The sequence below is a fragment of the Homo sapiens genome, chromosome 7 (assembly GCF_000001405.40).
Source record: "Homo sapiens chromosome 7, GRCh38.p14 Primary Assembly".
In the NCBI taxonomy this organism is placed as follows: Eukaryota; Metazoa; Chordata; class Mammalia; order Primates; family Hominidae; genus Homo; species Homo sapiens.
The window spans coordinates 29,169,791-29,185,719 of NC_000007.14; the positions used below are offsets into that span (position 1 = coordinate 29,169,791).

Consider the following 15,929-nt stretch of genomic DNA (forward strand, 5'->3'; position numbering starts at 1 on the left):
TTATTCCATGGCTACCTGGCAGGGATAAGATGTATATATATATATACACACATATATATAAGTATATATACGTGTGTGTGTGTGTGTGTGTATATATATATGTATATACAGGTTGCTGCTCTGTTGCTCAGGCTGGGGTGCAGTGGCGCCATCATAGCTCATTGCAGCCTTGAACCCCTGGGCTCAAGTGATCCTCCTGCCTCTGCCTCCTAAAGCACTGGAGTTACAGGTGTGAGTACCATGCCCAGCTGTGGTGTCCTTTTGATCCTTGTATTTGGCCTTCTTGACTAATCCAGTGCTCCCAGACTTCTAGCAGAAGCCCATTCTCTGGAGGTAAACTGACAGGAATCCTATGGGGTGGAGGGGGATTCCCTGAGCTCTTAAACATGGTCCTAAGGTGCTTCCTTGGCTACTTTATGTTTAACAATAGATTGCTGGTGATACTGATGAAACTCTTCTTTTGTTTTAATATCTGACAAATTTCTTGCTAATCTTAATTACTAGAGCAACTCTAGGGAACAGTGAATCTTCAAACACAAGATTTTAATATGCTTTCCTTCATGTCAGTGTTCCTTTTATGCATACCTCTAGTAAAACATTGTTCCATTTGATGCCAAAGATTTGCCCTTTCTTTAATTAATTTTGAATACTGCACATGTTAGATTTTCCCCCATTATTCATATTTTCTCCAATTGTTCATCTGGGGACGAATTTAAGTAATTTGTACATGTCCTTAGTTTAAAATGGGTTTTGTACATTCACTGAATATTTTGAAGAAAAATCAACCATTACATGACAAATGTATGTCTTCTAGAATTTTTATTTCTAAACTTCATGGAACACTTCTGTGTGACTTTCTGTAATATCTAATCTCAGGCAAAAATGACTTACTGTATTAGTCTGTTTTCACACTGCTGATAAAGACGTACTCGCGACTGGGCAATTTACAAAAGAAAGAGGTTTAATTGGACTTATAGTTCCATATGGCTGGTGGGGGGGCCTCACAATCATGGCGGAAGGCGAGGAGGAGCAAGTCACATCTTATGTGGATGGCTGCAGGTAAAGAGAGAGCTTGTGCAGGAAAACTTCCCCTTATAGCAACTATCAGATCTCGTGAGACTTACTCACTATCACAAGAAAAACATGGGAAAGACCTGCCCCCATGCTTCAATTACCTCCCACGGGGTCCCTCCCACAACATGTCGGAATTCAAGATGAGATTAGTGTGGGGACACAGCCAAACCATATCACTTACACTTCTCTATGACTCAGCTGATTTATTAAAAAACGACTTTATGAGATGTGTCAATTGAGATGGAAGGTGCTGGACATAATGAACTGCCGGTTTCCCCCCAGTTCTGACTCTTGCCTGCAGAGCCCTAACATTGCTTACATACGCACTGCTCTTTCACATGAAGGAACAGCGCAGACATCACCTAATACGCGTCCTACTGTATTCTTTCTGCCACATTCCCAGAAACCCCAAAGCTCTTTGGAACACCCAGGGGATTTCACAGGTCTATAAAGAAGAACAACCTGTAAACTGGGCTTGGTGATTCTGTGGGGATACAAACCAACATAATACATATGTAATGGAATAAACAACGGCATTAGCCAGTTCAGAGTCTTCAAGCTGAACTTGTTAGAAGGAGCGCCACACCTCAAGTAAACTAATAGGGTGGGGATCCCAGACGGAGAGGATTCTACCCAGAATCCTCCTCAATTCAGCCCCGAGCTTTCTTTGAAGGGCTTTCTTTGTACAGAGTTTAAGGTCAGAGACTTTTAACGTGGACCGGAAAGACAAACTCTAATACCTTAAGGGGCACTATTAAATCAAATTCCACAAACTAAATACTTGTCCGGAGATGAACAATTCAGAGTATAGCAGTTGTTGCAGGCTAAATCCAAGCATATGACATAATTTAGAAATCTACCAGTGTGTCTCCAGAGAATGCATTTTCATTTTTCCATAATATAATACATGCCTATCAAATCCATCTAACATTATTGAATCCATCACTTTTTAAGAAATGAAGTTGTTGTAGCTGAAGCTTTCAAGCATGCCGTCACATATAGTTCTTACAAATGGACTTACGAACTGATTTGGAGGGAAGCCCCCAATTCCCATATGTTTGACTTTAAAGAACAATCCAGCTGTATCTGAAGTAATTGTCCTCCTCAACAGAGTGCACAATGCAGGGTGCAGTGGGTGGTACACAGGAGAAAAAACTCATGGAATGGTGGAGACAGCCCCCTAGTCAGCCAGATGGGCCAAATCAGATGTAGGGTCAGCAGTATCACGTTTATACGCTTGGATTACATTGCCACCTAGAAGGAACCCAGGGAGTACCTAGGTTTCCATATATGGGGGGATTCCTGCAATGATTCAGTCCTTTAATGGGGCATCTTACTGTAAATCATTAAAACAGCACCACCTACTCTCCAGCATCCGGCCCACTGAGTTCTTGAAAGCATGGTTGCTGTGGGCATCACAGCTGATTTCTGTTAGTTGACTGGTCTCATCCAGTTGACCAACATTCTGCTTCAGGAACATTGTGACTTCTACACCTAGGCTCACCCTTGGTTATGATAGCATCAGTGTCTAAAGTTTTCTTAATATGCTGTAACAATAATCTCTGTCTCATCTATCATCATATTGCCACCCATTTATCATCCAAAAAAAATTATTAAAAATAACCAAGCCTTCAGATTCAGGAAAACCATTGGAATCAATTTGATTTCCCTTGCAGTTGGGAAATGAATTTTAAATTATTCATGTTAACACCCTCCAGATAAATTGAATTTTTAGAATATTTAAGAAAAGCTTAGTAAAGTCCATCTTTGACATTAACAGATTCCTTTTTTTAAATATTAATTTCATATTAACCATTGCTTTTTGACATACAGTCATCTGACCAACGATTTCAAGAATCATTAATGTTAATTGGGAAAGAAGTAAAACCTTAACATTTTAATATTATAAAACTTTTTTTTTCAACTTCTGTTTCCAGCTGTATGACTCACTAGATATCTGGAGAAGCTTTTCTGCCACTTAAAAATGCTGGATAAGGCCGAGTGTGGTAGCTCACCAGCGTTTTGGGAGGCCGAGGTGGGTGGATCACCTGAGGTTAGGAGTTTGAGACCAGCGTGGCCAGTATGGCAAAAACCTGTTTCTACTAAAAATACAAAAATTAGCTGGGCATGGTGGTGGGTGCCTGTAATCCCAGCCACTCAGGAGCCTGGGGAAGGAGAATCGCTTGAACCCAGGAGGCAGAGGTTGCAGTGAGCTGAGATTGCGCCAATGTACTCCAGCCTGGGTGACAGAGCAAGACTCTGTATCAAAAAAAAAAAAAAAAAGCTGGATGAGATAGTTTTTAAAAAAACATTTTTAAAAATGCACACCTAAGCTTATAGGAAAGTCAAGGAAATCTTCTAAGGCCAGAAAGCTAAGCAGGAACCCAGAGGAAAAAAAGCCCTGTAGCTGGCATTGCCCTGAATGCATCTGCCAGGTGCTGGTAGCCTCGAGTGGGGGCCTAACTTTCTGCAGCCATATAATTTATCCTCCAGCCCACAGTGATTATGAAGTGAAAGGTGGTGCTATTAATAATACATGAGGATTTCTGCTCCTGCTTGGAATATAGAAAGCTACGAGAGAATGTCACCCCCATCCTAACAACAAGAAAATGAGGAACAGTGTACAATATTATAACTTTCTTTCCTTAAACTCATCAGAGACTTGAGGTCACAAGGCAACCAGGAAAGTAAACTTCAAAGGATAAAAAGCATCTCTAATGAGAGGCAGGATATGAAATTGTTGCACCTTTGGCAGAGTATGGGAGGAAGGAGGGGGTTGTTGCCATGGAGTGAGTAAGAAGAAATATTTTTTTAAAAATAATGAATTCCTTACTTTGGCAGGCTGAGGCGGGCAGATCACTTGAGGTCAGGTGCCCGGCCTGTCCAACATGGTGAAACCCTGTCTCTACCAAAAAAAAAAAAAAAAATTAGTCGAGTGTGGTGGTTCATGCCTGTAATCCCATGTAATTCCATCTTACTTGGGGGGCTGAGGCACTAGAATTACTTGGACCTGGGAGGTGGAGGCTGCAGTGAGCTGAGATCACACCACTGCACTCCAGCCTGGGTGACAGAGGGAGACTGACTCAAAAAAAAAAAAAAGAATTTCTAAAGACTGAGTATGCACTCATATCTCATATTAATTTAGAATAATTGAGAGGCCCAGACACAAGCGGAGTTCACACACACTCCCAAGCTTCTCTTCATAGTCTCCATGGGGAAGAGGGGGTGCTCTTGAGGAAGACTAGGGCAGGGCAAAAGGCTGGAGAGACCCCCCCGTTTGGTGGCACAGGATGCAGGAGGAGGTGGCTGCCCCCACACCTTGATGCTCCTCTCATGGGAGCAAAAGCCTTAATTAAGCTGTCAGGAAGAAGCAGCAAGCCCTTGAGAAGCAAAGCCCTCTGCCTCTGGAGGGGGGCCAGCAATCCCGTCTTTCCATATTTTGGTATGCAGGCACATATCTGCTTCTGGGGAAAGGACAGAAGCAAAAGTCATCAGTCCCTGAGGAGAGACAGTAAAGCTTTTCGAGGCCTGGAGGCTACACCAGTACATAGCCAAGGTCTGCTTCTCCCCCAAGAGGGACAGGAACCTGTCCAGACAAGGGACAGGTTGCTCAGCTGATTAGCCATGGGGGCACAAAGCAGGATGGAACATGGTAGAGTGGATTTGGAAGGGGCAGAAAGAAAATACCCAACACAATGATTAAACAATTTTGAGAGTCCAGGTGCAGTGACTCACGCCTGTAATCCAGCACTTTGGGAGGCCGACTTGGGCGGATCACCTGAGGTCAGGAGTTCGAGATCAGCCTGGCCAACATGGTGAAACCCCATCTATGCTAAAGATACAAAATTAGCTGGGCACGGTGGCACACACCTGTAATCCCAGCTACTTGGGAGGCTGAGGCAGAAGCATTGCTTGAACCCAAGAGGTGGAGGTTGCAGTGAGCCAAGATTGTGCCATCGCACTCCAGCCTGGGCAAAAAAGAGCAAAACTCCATCTAAAAAAAAAAAAAAAAGAATTTTTAGAGAGATACAGGAACAAGAAGCTAGAAGAGAGAGAGACACAAAATAAACAAAATTCTATAAATGAAAAATATAAAAATTGTATTCATCTCAGTTGATAAGCAGCAGATTAGATAATGATATGGTTTGGCTGTGTCCACACCCAAATCTCATCTTGAATTGTAGCTCCCATAATTCCCATATGTTGTGGCAGGGACCCAGTGGGAGATGATTCAATCTTTGGAGTGCTTCCCCCATACTGTTCTCATGGCAGTGAATAAGTCTCATGAGATGTGATGATTTCTTTTTCTTTTTCCTTTTTTTTTTTTTGAGACGGGGCCTCTCTCTGTCACCCAGGCTGGAGTGTAGTGGCACGATCTCTGCTCACTGCAGTCTCTGACTCCTGGGTTCAAGTGATTCTCCTGCCTCAGCCCCCTCAGTAGCTGGGATTACAGGCGCATGCCACCACGCCTGACTAATTTTTTGTATTTTCAGTAGAGAGGGGGTTTCACCATATTGGCAAGGCTGGTCTCAAACTCCAGACTTCGGGTTTTCTGCCCGCCTCGGCCTCCCAAAGTGCTGGGATTACAGGTATGAGCCACCATGCCTGGCTGAGAGCTGATGATTTTATAAGGCATTTCCCCTTTCACTTGGCTCTCATACTCTCTTGCCTGCCGCCATGTAAGACATTCCTTGCTCTTCCACCATGATTGTGAGGCCTCCCCAGCCGTATGGAACTGAGTCAATTTTTCCTCTTATCTTTGTAGATTACCAATCTTGAGTATGCCTTTATTAGCAGCATGAGAACAGACTAACACAGATAAATTGATTGATAGCCAACGGGAAGGAGAGTAGTAGAAGATAAGTTACCCAAGCGGAGCACAGGGAAAAAAACAAAACAAAAAAACAGTGAAAAATATGAAAGAAGGGTTAGGAAGTATTGAGTGAGAAAGTCTAACATGTCTAATTCACTGACATTTTAGGACAGATTAGGCAATATTCAAAGAGATCATGACTATTTTCCATAATTGAAAAAAAGACCAGACGGGCGCGGTGGCTCATGCCTGTAATCCCAGCACTTTGGGAGGCCGAGGCGGGAAGATCACAAGGTCAGGAGATCAAGACCATCCTGACTAACACGGTGAAACCCCGTCTCTACTAAAAATACAAAAAATTAGCCAGGCGTGGTGGTGGGCGCCTGTAGTCCCAGCTACTCGGGAGGCTGAGGCAGGAGAATGGTGTGAACCTGGGAGGCGGAGCTTACAGTGAGCCAAGATCGCGCCACTGCACTCCAGCCTAGGCGACAGAGCAAGACTCCGTCTCAAGAAAAAAAAAACAGATAAAAGAAAAAAAAGACCATGACTATTTATTTATTCTGACTACAAAGATCCAGAAGAGAAGTCAAGAAGGCCAATAGGTCCTGAGCAGGATAAATAAAAATAAAGTCACATTTAGATACACTGTAGGAAAGCTTCAGATTCCCCCAAACAGAGAGGAAAAAGAAAAAAAAATGCCAAAAAGAAATAATAACTAGATTAATAGTGGACTTCTTATTGGCAGGAAAACATGTCAGAACACAATGGGTATGTCTTCATTAGCAGTATGTCTCTTCAAATTGCTGAAGGAAATTAACTGTCAGCTTGAATCCTATACAAATCTAACTTTGATTCCAAAGGAAAGACAAAGTAAAGACATTTATAGACAAAAATTGAAAGGGATTACTACTAAGACACCCTTACAAAGAAGCTTTAAAAGGGTATTTTTTAGGAAGAAAAAAGAATACAGAAGGAAGATCTAATATACAAGAAAGAATTTTGAGCCAAGAAAATGGGAAACTTCTGTTTAAACCTAAATTAACGTTGACAGTATAAAACAACAAATAATGGCTAACTTCTGGTGTTTAAAAAACGAGATTGAGCTGAAATACTAGAAGGAAGAGCATATAAATAGGAAGCCAGGAAGGAAAGGGAAAGCAACCTCTTGCTCTTTCATCATTGGTCAGAATGGTAAGAATATGGATAAACATTAGGCTTCGTTAGCTTATATGTTAAAATGCCTAGGTTAACTTCTAAATGAATAGAAACAGTGTTTATAACTTCCAAATAAATACAGAGAAAATGGGAATGAAAAAAAATCATTTAATACAAAAGAAAGCAAGAAAGAGAGGGGAAAAAATATAGATGGAAGAGGCAAATATAAAATAGTTATCTCCTTAAGATAAAATATTTTTAGTTTAGTGAACATTGTCTTCTAGCACAGAGACACTAAAAAATTTACTCACTGGGAAACTTATTCCTTTCTAATCTTCAGATTGCTTAAAGTAATTTATACCTATATAGGAGATCTTTTTCTTTTTTCTTTCTTTTTTTGTTTTATTTTGTTTTGTTTTGTTTTGTTTTGTTTTGTTTTGAGACAGAGTCTCACTCTGTCATCCAGGCTGGAGTGCAGTGGTGCTATCTCTGCTCACTGCAACCTCTGCCTCCCGGGTTCAAGCAATTCTCCTGCCGCAATCTCCTGAGTAGCTGGGATTACAGGTGCACACCACAATGCTGGGCTAATTTTTGTATTTTTAGTAGAGATGGGGTTTCACCATGTTGGCCAGCCTGGTCTCAAACTCCTGACCTCAAGTCATCTGCCTGCCTTGGCCTCCCACAGTGCTGGGATTACAGGCATGACCCACCGTGCCTGGCCCCCTCACTTTTTTTTTTTTAATTTACTGGCTTTTCCTCTGTCCCCTCATTTTTTCTCTCTCTCTTTTCCTTCTTCCATCTGTTTATCTATCTGTCCATCTATTAATATCTACCTATTTATCTATCTGTCCATCCATCCATCTGTGCAGTCATCCATCCATCCATCCACTTTACCAGCTATACCCCAACCCTCTTTACTTCTAAACACCTACCCATCTCATTATGCTCCCACCTATCTATCTGTTCTTTCATTCATTCACTTTATAACCAAAATCTTTTTTTCCAACCCAGACCTCTCTCCAAACCTTGCTACTTGACATCTCCTTAGACATTTCATAGGTGCCTCAAACTTCACATGTCCGAAACACAACCCTCGGTTCCATCCCCACACAAAGTTCCCCCTCCCCAAGCCCTCACCATCACAGCAAGTGGCACCACCAGCCATTTAACTGCTCAGCTAAAAACCTAGGAGTCACCTTGATGATTGTTTATCTCATGCCTCACATTCCATCATCAGCAAGTGTTGTCAGATTCTACCCTAAGTCTGATGGTGTCTTGCCATCTCCACTGCTACTATCCTCTGTCCACACCATCAGCCTTTCTTTGAAACCACTGGAATAGTCACATAGCCACCGTGCACCCTGCTCTTCTTACTATCCTTTTCCATAGCTGCCAAAGTGATCTTTTCAGTATGAATCAGAACATGTTATCCCCTTCCTAAAAGCTTCTGTGGCTTCCCATTGTGTCTAGAAATAAACAGAAAGTCTCCACTATGACCCACGTGGCTGCTAGGATCTGACATCTACTCAGCCTCTGACCTGGTCTTCCTCTGCGTGCGGTTTCATTCCTTTGACGCCAGCTCCACTGGCCGCCTTTCCTGTTCCTCTAACATGCCCAGCTCGTGTCTGACTCAGCCCTTTAAATCTGCTGTTCCCTCCTCCAGACCTGCAAGATCAAGTCTCTGCTGAAATGTCACATCCTCCGAGAGACGTTGCCTGACATGCTGTTTTATGTTCATCTGAACACATTTTTCAGCATTTGAAGTTATCTTTTTAAAAAAAGCAGTTCATTGTCTGTGCCTCTTAAGGGCAGGGACTTTGTTTATTGTTATATTCTCAGGGTCTATACCTATGCCTGGATCATAGTAGGGGCTCAGTTATTGTTTGTTGAATGACTGTTTGGCATTAATTAATTAATTTCACAACTTGGAGTGGAATTAGCCATCTGCATTCATATGAAAAATGACTTAAATCCCTATGATATATCAAATTAAGGCAAATAATCAGCCAATAAAAATGGGTTTGCCACAAATTTGACCAATCAAAGGTTAACTACTATGTAAAGAGTTATTACAAACTAATAAAAAGAACACTAACACACCATTTAAGGGACATTATAGTCCAGGCAGGACCCCACCTACCAGAGCTAACCAGCATTTGCACCTCCTCAGTTATGGTTTTGAGGTCTCCTGCCTCCTTAGGATTATAGGGGACCCAGCATCTCTCTTGGTGTCAGAAAACAGGAGGTGATCCTCCAATATCATGCTGACACACTTACAGTCCTCATGGACCCTTTGAAAACAGCCCCTCCATTTTCTTTTTGCCAAGCTTGGGCATAAGGCTTATTTGTGTTAGGCCATGCTGCCATCTTGGGAGAACCCTTCAGAAGGCTCCATCCCCTCACACAGCACTGCATGAGAGTGGGCATGGGATGCCATCCTTAAGAACCACCCCATCCCACGCCAAGTCATGAGGAAGAGTGCTCCCTTCACTCTTTGCTAGATCAGTTCTGCCTTCCTTCCCACACAGTGTCAGCCTTCTTCAGTCAGCCTTGTTGAAGAAAAGACTCCAGAATGCTCTGCACAGAAACTCAGGCTGAAGTTTTGCAGTCTGAGAATTTTTTGACCACTCTCAGATGCTAGAAAATCCAGGAACCCAGACTCAACACAAATTCTTCAGGAGTGAGAAGGAAAGATTCTGATACTTGTCCTAAGTCTTCTTCATAAGCAAGAACAAGGCAGATGTTAGTAACACAAATGATTATTTTGCTATATATCCTTTGCCAAATAGAATTACTCTGATATATGTAAATAAATATTCTCCTTTTTCTAAGTAGAGAAACCATCAATAATTACCAGGTTTTTTATTTCTCAAATTACAAAATACTTAATAGCTATTCTATTTTATATCAATGCAAAACACGGGTAAGAACTGGACATTTGTGGAGGGGCTATATAGCATTTATGAGGTTCATTTGTTTTCTTATGCTTTGCAAAACTGAGTTAGTGCATGTGAGGATTTATTTATTATTGCAAGCAAATCAACTTAAGTATTACAAACAAAAAATCTGGTCACTGTTATTTTGAAAGCATTAAGATAACTTACATTGCTAAGCATTCTATTGATCTTTTGCTATTTGTCTTGTATTTTCAAATGATTATATTTCCCTGCAGACAGTGGAAATATCAATGAGAAATAAGATGTCCTTTCATCAATGATGTAGGTTATTTCATTTCCAAATATTCACATATTATGCTTACATGTGTTTCATTCTTAATATTCCGAAGTCAATCTGTTCCCCAATAGTTTTTTTATTAGAAAGGAAAATATTTCACATCAAACATTTTAATAATATTGTGAATCAAATTTAGAATATTTTTAAAATGTGATAACGTACCAATAGTGACATCTAGGCCGGGTGTGGTGGCTCACGCCTGTAATCCCAGCACTTTGGGAAGCTGAGGCGGGCAGATCACAAGGTCAGGACAGATTGAGACCGTCCTGACTAACACGGTGAAACCCTATCTCTACTAAAAATACAAAAAATTAGCCAGGCGTGGTGGCACATGCCTGTAGTCCCAGCTACTCAGGAGGCTGAGGCAGGAGAATCACTTGAACCTAGGAGGCGGAGGTTGCAGTGAGCCGAGATCGCGCCACTGCACTGGGCGACAGAGCGACAGAGCGACAGAGCAACAGAGCAAGACTCCATCTCAAAAAAAAAAAAGTCATCTAAATTGATATAAAAATGACTTAAATCTGTATAAATCAAATTAAGGCAAATGATGAGCCAATAAAAATACCTTTGGCACAAATTTGACCAATTAAAAGTTATTATAATTACTATGTAAAGAGTTATTACAAACTAATAAGAAGAACACTAACACACTAATTAAGGGGCACTAGAGTCCAGTGATTAAGAGCTCAGGCTCTGGAGTTAGAGCTGGGTTCAAATCCAGGCCCTGTCACATTCTGTGTGATGTTGGACAAGACTCGTATCATCCGTATACCTCTTGGAGTTCTAATTTGTAATATGGAGATAATAAGCATGACTGCTTGCAGTGTAATTGAAAAGAGTACGTAAGATCATACATAAACAACTCTTGGTACCAATCACTGGTACCCAGTACTTACTATTATTTTGCCAAAAGAGATGAATAGGCAGTTTGCAAAAGAAGAAATACAAATGACTAGTAGACATAAGCAAAAAGTTAATCTCCCTAGTAATCAGTTAGATACAAATGAATACAGCAATGGGAGGCCATTTTTTCCTAGGGAATTTGTGTTTTAAAATATATTCTAATTCTCAGTCATGATATATGTGGTGAGTTCTGGAATGAATATAAATTCAGACAATTTTTCCAGAAGGCAGCTTGGCAATTTTTATCTAGTGCTTTAAACATTTTCATAGCCTTTGACCAAGGCTTCAGCTATTGCTCTACTCCAGCAGGCGTTACTCACATTGTAGTTTGAACTGGGGCTCCTGGCAGCAACATTTATATAGAATATACTGTGTTTGGTGGCTCCTAGGGTTGTGCAGCTGGTGCCCATGCCACTGACGTGTTCAACTTACAGCAATCAAGCCTAAGAAAATAAACAGAAAGGCACATATAGATTTATGTGTAAGGAAGTTTGTCCAAGAGTAATTCAGAAAAAGCCAAAAACTGTGAAACAACCTAAATTTCAATCAATGGAGGAATAACAACATGAATTATTGTAGATTAATAGAAAGGAATTTTATATTGCCATTAAAAGTCACATTAGGAATCTATAAGACATAGGAAATAATTGTACAAGTTCATTCCAAAAGGAAAGTAGCTTTATTATGGCCTCCAACTAGAAAAGTAAAATGTATTCATTTTAAAAATTACACAATCTAGAAAAACTAAATAAAGTAGACACTAATGATCTTAACATTCCAAAATAGACACTTTTTTATATAGGTCCTAACAAACTTTTTTTCCACATGAATGTTCATATTGCTATGTAATGTAAACTGCAAAAATCAGGCTGCTAAACTGCTAATTCCTAAGGGGGGGAAAAGTACCTAAGTATTTATTCATGGTGGAGGGAATATGGATGATTTCTTTTTTTGTTTTACTTATCTCTTTTTTGCCTCTAACATATCTACAGTAAGCATGGATTACTTTATAAGCAAAACATCTTAAATAACATAAATGCTGTAAATGACTTTTTCTTACTTAAATTATAACTATTTCTTTCAGTGCTCTGAAAGATGGAATATTTTTTAAAAAGACAATATTCCTTTTGCAAAATGAGAACTAACACTCATTAATCACTCTGCTGTCTTCCTCTTAATGAAAACCTGCAAATGCATATGCAAATGAACTGAACTTCTATTATAAGATGGTGACAGGATGCTCTACAGAAGAGAAGGTAATGATAGAGTTTGAAAAATAGGAGCGCAGAGGAAGGTTAGCAGTGGTGGAATCTTTCTATTCAATGCCTTAAAAGAGTTGTATTAATCTGATAGTGTTCCACCTACCAATAATGAAATAAGATCATAAGCAGCAGTAAAAAGCAAAAGCTCCTCATTGTGATATGACACATAGAGTGTAGCAGAATAGGGCTATGGGGACCCAGATCAAAAAGAAAACGTAGAAAGTTGTAATATTCTTCAGACATTTTCATAAGTCCTGCCAGATCATCCTATTTAACTACTTGACAAGTTTAGTCTGTATTACCCACGTTAAGCCTCCTAGAGTATTTTTATCCAATATCACACATTTGGATCAAAACTTTAAAATATCAATTCAACGTTCAAATACTTTGTCTACACAATTACGTACACTCATGTCTAAAAATACAAATTGAGTAAACCCAATGTCCCTCAAGATTGTTAGCATTCAGCAGACAAAGATTTAATGTCAAAAGAGGGTCTGAAGCATTAAGGTTCTTAAATATAACTGTCCCAAGGAGAATTGGAGGTAGGCTTATAGGAAATTAAATTCCTTGGACAGGGTAGATGAGAGTAGAGACAGCATCCTATTGTGTTAATCCCGTTTTTGCCCTTTTGTGTGGAAAATCATGACAGCCTGCTGCCTTTAAATGGCTTGAGAATCCAGAACAAAGATAAACACTCAGCTGGATTCTACATTTTTGAAATTCTATTACAGGAAAGATTCTTGGGTTAAAGAAGGGATATATGAAAACAGCAGAGCACCATTGCTGCCCTCCAGAATCTTCCCATTATATGAGACAGGTACGAAGGCAACTGGAAAACATGGCAGACTTTTTTTTTTTTTTTTTTTTGAAACGGAGTTTCGCTTTTGTTGCCTAGGCTGGAGTGCAACGGCGCAATCTTGGCTCATTGTAACCTCCGCCTCCCAGGTTCAAGCGATTCTCCTGCCTCAGCCTCCTGAGTAGCTGGGGTTACAGGCATATGCCAACATGACTGGCTAATTTTGTATTTTCAGTAGAGACAGGGTTTCTCCATGTTGGTCAGGCTGGTCTCGAACTCCCGATCTCAGGTGATCTGCCTGCCTTGGCCTCCCAAAGTGCTGGGATTATAGGTGTGAGCCACCGTGCCTAGCCTTTTTTTTTTTGAGACAGGGTCTTGCTCTGTTGCCCAGGCTGGAGTGAGGTGGCATGATCTCGGCTCACTGCAACTTTTGTCTCTTGGGTTCAAACAATTCTCTTGCCTCAGCCTCCCAAGTAGCTGGGTTTACAAGTGTGTGCCACCACACCTGGCTAACTTTTGTATTTTTAGTAGAGACAGGGTTTCACCATGTTGGCCAGGCTGGTCTCAAACTTCTGGCCTCAAGTGGTCTGCCGGTCTTGGCCTCCCAAAGTACTAGGATTACAGGTGTGAGCCACCACACCTGGCCCAGAATTTTTTAAGTGCTGAATTGGTGGCATTCTCTAGAGAAAGAGAACCAATAAGAGAGATATATAGAAGATATATGTATAGGATATATGATATATGTAGATTAGATATAGATTAATAGGAGATACATATGCAGTCAGCTCTCTATATTTGTAGATTCCACACCCATGCATTCAACCAACCAAAAATGTTAGAAAAAACAATAAAAATTACAAACAACAATTAAAAATGATACAAATAAAAAACAATGGGGCATAACAACGAGTTACATAGCATTTACATAGTATAGGTATTGTAAGTAATCTAGACATGATTCAAAGTATACAGGAGGCTATGCATAGGTTATCTGCAAATACTACACTATTTTATATAAGACACTTGGGCATATGCAGATTTTGATATCTGAGTGGGGGTTCTGGATCCAATCTCCCATGGATACCAAAGGACTACTAACTGTACAGAAGATACAGATAGATGATAGATAGATAGATAGATAGATAGATAGATAGATAGATAGATAGATAAAAGAGATATTTATAGAAGAAATATATATAGGAGATATACATATACAATCTATATATAAGATATATAGTGGATATATATGATATATATATTTAGGAATATTATATATGGTATATCTCATATCTCATACATCTATGTATCTCATATATATATTTATATGAGAAAATATATGACTGTATGAGATATACAGATAAGAGAGATTTAGTATATGCAATTGGCTCACTGATTACGGAGTGAGTCCCAGATCTGCAGGATGACTTGGCATGTAAGAGACCCAGGAGAGCTGATGGTATAGTTCCTGTCAAGACAGCAGGCTGGAACCCCAGGAAGAGCCAATGTTTCCGTTTGGATCTGAAGGCAGGAAAACAGCTGATGATCAGTCCAAAGGCCATCACAAGAGTTTTCTCTTACTCTCAAGGGAGGGTCAGCCTTTCTGTTTTCTCCAGGCCTTCAACTGATGTGATGGGGCCCATCTACATACTGGGGGAAAATCTGTGTTACTCAGTGTTCTGATTTAAATTTAACTTCATTCAAAGACACACAGAAACACCCAGAAATAATGTTTGACCACATACCTGGGCACCCCACAGCCCAATCAAGTTGACGCATAAAATTAAGCATCACACCTGAGTTAACCACTGTAAACATTGTGGTTGACTTAATTATTCACCCTTTCAATGCCAGCCCTGAGGAATGGGAGTTTATGTGGATAAGGACAAAAATCTTTGGGCATAAAGAGTCAGCTAAAATACTTTCGCCTCTCTGTTGCTGCCACCATTGAGAGTAGATGTCTCTAAGTGCATTTGTCTGTGATACCCCCTCTTTCTGTCCAAGCTGAGGGTTTTATTTTCATATATTCAGAACACCTAAGAAGTTGTGAGATATTTTTTCTCCAAACCAATTTTTCTAGCTGTGGTGTGAAGTATTTCTCAGGCATAAACATCACCTTTCAACCCCATCTGAACTGAAAATCCCATTTCTAATCTTCTTTATGATTGAGAAATGATAGAGTAGATTTGCTGGAAAACATCTGCCTCACTGACAGCTGGCTGTTCTTGTGGGAGTGACCCTAAGTGCCTATTGTTTATGCTTATTCATTGAGAAGTGTCTTTTAAAGATCATAACATGGACCAAAATTTGAAGAAGAATTGCCCCACATTGACTGAGAAAATGTCATGCTAATGTTAGATTTTATTCTATTTTCTCATATCATGATGTCTGTGGTTACACGCTCTTGATAAGAATTTGATTCCCTCTCTTTCCTTCATGACCAGAGACAATCCCGGCAAAAACATGGAGCAACATTAGCTCTTACCATTTCCAGTCAAGCTCTTCAACAATATAATCTGTTCTCTGAATCTCATTTCTCTTATCAAACCTTAGCAGCATATCAAAATCACCTGGGAATTAAAAAAAAAAAGGCTGATATTTGGTTTCTACCTTCTGCCACCCTCAGATTCTGATTTGTTTATTCTGGAGCGTGATCTCGGCATTGGGATTTCTAAAAGCCTTCTGAGTGATT

The 15,929-nt window shown here is 40.2% G+C and overlaps 2 protein-coding genes across 18 annotated transcripts in view; one reads left to right on the forward strand and one right to left on the reverse strand.

Annotated features, from left to right (window-relative positions):
• CPVL (carboxypeptidase vitellogenic like) overlaps positions 1–15,929 on the reverse strand; it is a 200,816-nt gene that overhangs the window by 175,155 nt on the left and 9,732 nt on the right. For 5 of the 15 annotated variants that reach the window (NM_001371266.1, NM_001371265.1, NM_001371260.1 and 2 more), the window contains 3 exons: positions 15,723–15,807; positions 14,631–14,758; positions 11,500–11,622 (listed from right to left, as the gene is read on the reverse strand). The exons of 1 other annotated variant lie outside the window; for it this stretch is intronic. The gene's annotated coding sequence lies outside the window, so the exon portion shown is untranslated. Of the gene's footprint in view, positions 1–3,907; positions 3,980–4,944; positions 5,069–11,499; positions 11,623–13,745; positions 13,921–14,630; positions 14,759–15,722; positions 15,808–15,929 lie in introns of all 15 variants that reach the window. 9 more of the 15 variants (NM_001371268.1, NM_001371262.1, NM_001348054.1 and 6 more) reach the window with 6 other exon arrangements.
• Positions 1–15,929, forward strand: part of CHN2 (chimerin 2) — a 367,738-nt gene that overhangs the window by 23,200 nt on the left and 328,609 nt on the right. The window lies entirely within an intron of this gene.